The sequence below is a fragment of the Homo sapiens genome, chromosome 4 (genome assembly GCF_000001405.40).
Source record: "Homo sapiens chromosome 4, GRCh38.p14 Primary Assembly".
In the NCBI taxonomy this organism is placed as follows: domain Eukaryota; kingdom Metazoa; phylum Chordata; class Mammalia; order Primates; family Hominidae; genus Homo; species Homo sapiens.
The window spans coordinates 112454967-112459263 of NC_000004.12; the positions used below are offsets into that span (position 1 = coordinate 112454967).

Below are 4297 nucleotides of genomic sequence, written 5' to 3' on the forward strand. Positions count from 1 at the left end.
CAGCTGGCTGTGTTCTCTTCTGGAGCTTGGGATCATCTTCCAATCTCATTCCTGATGTTGGTAAAATTCAGTTCCTTGTGGTTGTAGAACTGAGGTGGCTGTTTCCTTGTTGGCTGTTAGCTGGGTTTGTCTCAGTTACTTGTAGCCACTCTGTGGTCCTTGTATGGAACCCCTCCAGCATCAAGGCCAACAACAGCACACTAAATCCTTCTCATGCTTCAAATTTCTCTGACTTCTCCTGCTTCCAGTCATAGAAAACTTTCTGCTTTAAAAGGGGTCAGCTAATTGAGTCAGGCCCACCTGGATAATCCCCATATTTTAAAGTTAACTGACTTTCAACCAGGCATGGTGGCTCACACATGTAATCCTAGTACTTTGGGAGGCTGAGACGGGCAGATCCCTTGAGGTCAGGAGTTCAAGCCCAGCCTTGGCAACATGGTGAAACCTCGTCTCTACTAGAAATACAAAAATTAGCCAGGAGTGGTGGCTCACGCCTGTAATCCCAGCTACTTGAGAGGCTGAGGCATGAGAATCACTTGAACCCAGGAGGCTGAGGTTGCAGTGAGCTGAGATCGCACTACTGCACTCCAGCCTGGGCAACAGAGACTCTGTCTTAATTAATTAATTAATACTTATTAATTTATTAATTAATTAAGTTAACTGACTTGGGACTTTACAGCAGTGCCTGTATTACTGTTTGAACAACCAACAGATAAGAATCTTGGGGGAGGGCATCTTTAGAGTGTTGCCTACCACATAATGTGAGTTTGGTGCGCTCCTGGTTCTGAGATGCTGGGTTTCACACACATTTTAAGGTTTTTAGATGCAAGGAACACAGGCTTGTTTAAGGAAAGTTAAATAGGATACACATGATACAAGAAGTGGTCTCACAGTTCCGAGTCCAGTGGGGCGGTGGGAGCGATGACAGTCTGAGATGGTAGGAGCAGTTGTGTGAAGATGGAGTCTCCCGGAGGAAATGACAATTACCTGACAATCACAGGGCCGTCACACCTCTTCCTGTCAGGGGCCGAGACATTCCATACACCAAGCTTAGGTGATGAAGAATTTGAAATCCCACCTATCTCTTTGGATTCTGATCCCTCATTGGCTGTCTCAGATGTGGTTGACCACTTTGATGACCTGGCAGACCCTTCCTCTTCACAGGATGGCAGTGCTTCAGCCCAGTATGGGGTCCAGACATTGGACATGCTCTGTGGGCATGACCCATGGCTTGATGGAGCAAGGTGGGGGCTCCTCAGTGGAGGCTTGATCATGGACTTAAACCACTCTATAGGAACTCAGTATAGTGCCAACCCACCTGTTACAATTGATGTACTAATGATAGACATGACATCTGACTTGATGGGGCATAGCCAGTTGACCACCACTGATCAGTCAGAACTGAGTTTCCAACTGGGTTTGAGCTTACGGGGTGGCACCATCCTGCCACCTGCCCAGTCACCTGAAGATCGTATTTCAACCACCCCTTCACCTACTAGTTCACTTCACGAGGTTGGTGTTGAGGATTTCTGGAGGCAAATTTCCAGCCAGAAGACAGTGGTGGTGGAAGCAGGGAAAAAGCAGAAGTTCCCAAAGAAGAGAAAAAAGAAAGATCCTAATGAACCTCAGAAACCAGTTTCAGCATATGCTTTATTCTTTCCTGATACACGGGCTGCCATCAAGGGACAGAATCCTAATGCCACTTTTGGTGAGGTTTCAAAAATTGTGGCCTCCATGTGGGATAGTCTTGGAGAGGAGCAAAAACAGATATATAAGAGGAAAACTGAGGCTGCCAAGAAAGAGTATCTGAAGACACTGGCTGCTTACGAAGACAACCAGGAGTGTCAGGCCACTGTGGAAACAGCGGAATTGGATCCAGCACCACCATCACAAACTCCTTCTCCACCTTCTATGGCTACTGTTGACCCAGCGTCTCCAGCACCAGCTTCAACAGAGCCCCCTGTCCTGTCCCCATCCATTGTTGTTAACTCCACCCTTTCATCCTATGTGGCAAACCAGGCATCTTCAGGAGCTGGGGGTCAGCCCAATATCACCAAGTTGATTATTACCAAACAAACGTTGCCCTCTTCCATTACTATGTCTCAGGGAGGGATGGTTACTGCTATCCTAGCCACAGTGGTGACCTCCTGGGGGCTCCAACTAGACCCAACCAGTACAGCCACTATCCAGCCCAGTCAACAAGCCCAGATTGTCACTCGGTCAGTGTTGCAGGCAGCAGCAGCAGCTGCTACTGTTGCTTCTATGCAACTGCCTCCACCCCGACTACAGCCCCCTCCATTATAACAGATGCCACAGCCCCTGACTCAGCAGCAAGTTACCATTCTGCAGCAGCCTCCTCCACTCCAGGCCATGCAACAGCCTCCACCTCAGAAAGTTTGAATCAATTTACAGCAACAGCTACCTCCTCTGCAGATCAAGAGTGTGCCTCCACTCACTTTGAAAATGCAGACTACCTTAGTCCCACCAACTGTGGAAAGTAGTCCTGAGCGGCCTATGAACAATAGTCCTGAGGCCCATACAGTGGAGGCAACTTCTCCTGAGACCATCTGTGAGATGATCACAGATGTAGTTCCTGAGGTTGAGTCTTCTTCTCAGATGGATGTTGAATTGGTGAGTGGGTCTCCTGTGGCACTGTCACCCCAGCCTCGATGTGTGATGTCTGGTTGTGAGAATCCTCCCATTGTGAGTAAGGACTGGGACAATGAATGCTGCAGCAATGAGTGTGTGGTGAAGCACTGCAGGGATGTATTCTTGGCCTGGGTAGCCTCTAGAAATTCAAACACAGTGGTGTTTGTGAAATAGTCCTTCCTGTTCTCCAAGCCAGTGAAGAGTTATCTGCTGGGAACATGTCTAAGAGCCTGTTTTGGAAACACAAGCTGGGCTTCTGGTAGTGCCTGATCACAGCCCATGATGTCCGTTCATGTTTCCCCCCTTTTCTCCCTTCAGCAGAGGCCAGGCTATGGAGCAGGGCCGCTGAACTTGCTGTAATCTGGAGATGCTTTTTACACAACCACAAGCAGAAATACCAGTGGTAATAGCAGAGGAAAGGGTGAAGGGAGTATGGGCAAGCAAAGTATAGAGATGGTAGGAGTGGTGGTGGGGTTGAAGAAACTTGTTGGTATAATTGTCATAGGACTTGCCTAAAATATTATTAAAATGACGGGAGTGTACTCAGCTTTGAGCCTAGGGAAAAAAAAAAAAAAAGTGGTTTCACATGAAAATCCAAGACCAGAAACAAACATGGAACCTCACAGCAGGAGCTAGTGAATCCTTGCTCTGGTGATTTGCCATTAACAAAATTTATGCAGTCTCCTTGATTGTATTCTTTCTATATTTCAAGTTTAAATTTCTAGAGTTCTGCTTTCATTTAGAATGTAAAACATCATAAGAGAAATGGCTCTCACCCTAGCAATTGGAAAAAAGACAGAAAACCCACAAACTTTTCATGAACCCACTGAAGAGCTCAGGTTATGGGGCAACCAAATAAATTAAATTCCAAAGAATTACAAGCCCCTTCAATGAGAGAGAGGACATGCAAACTCTTTTGCCATTGGCAGAGCATAGAAAAAAGAGACGGCCACCATATAAGCCAGTTAGAAGAAATCAGCTGAAAGTTTAGTAGATTCTTAAAAGTCAATTTTGGACTAAAGTATCGCTTGAAATAACTGACAGTCCAAGACACAAGAGGATTTTGCCCTAATTTACTAGCTCGTTTTCACTGCCCTCCACTAGAGGCTCATGAGAAAATCTAGAGATGAATAGGCATGCAGGAGGTCATCAGTGGTACAGGCACAGAGAAAATTTTCAGTTGCCCCTGGGGAAGAGATATGAACTCTACCCAGCTACATGGCTCCTTCTGTCACTGAAAGAAAAAGCCTGAAACTACTGGAGATAAGGCAAGAATTCTGTTGCTTCTAGTTGATGACTAGAAGCAAAGGCCCTCTGGCCCTGGGAAAAAGCAGGGAAAACTCTTGCCCTCAGGATCCTGCACTGGTATAAGGAGAAGTGCGCTACTTCTGGGAATAGGCGGGAGAACTGTTTTCTATCCATGGCCCAATGACCCACAGATCAGAGTTCAACAGACACTGGGAGAAAGGGTAGGCAAGAAACACTGATGAGGCTTCATTTCTGAGACCCAGGCATGCAAGTCTGCCTAAAATTGAAACTATGTTAGGAAAATAAAAATTCCCTCTTCCCACAATAAACCTAGTCCACAATAACAAGCAATAGTATTTTACCACTGAAGAAGGATAAAGAACATGGAAACAGACTCCCC

At 46.3% G+C, this 4297-nt stretch overlaps 1 pseudogene; it reads left to right on the top strand.

Annotated features, from left to right (window-relative positions):
* Nucleotides 891–3020, top strand: TOX4P1 (TOX high mobility group box family member 4 pseudogene 1; annotated as a pseudogene).
* Nucleotides 3021–4297: the final 1277 nt, after the last annotated feature.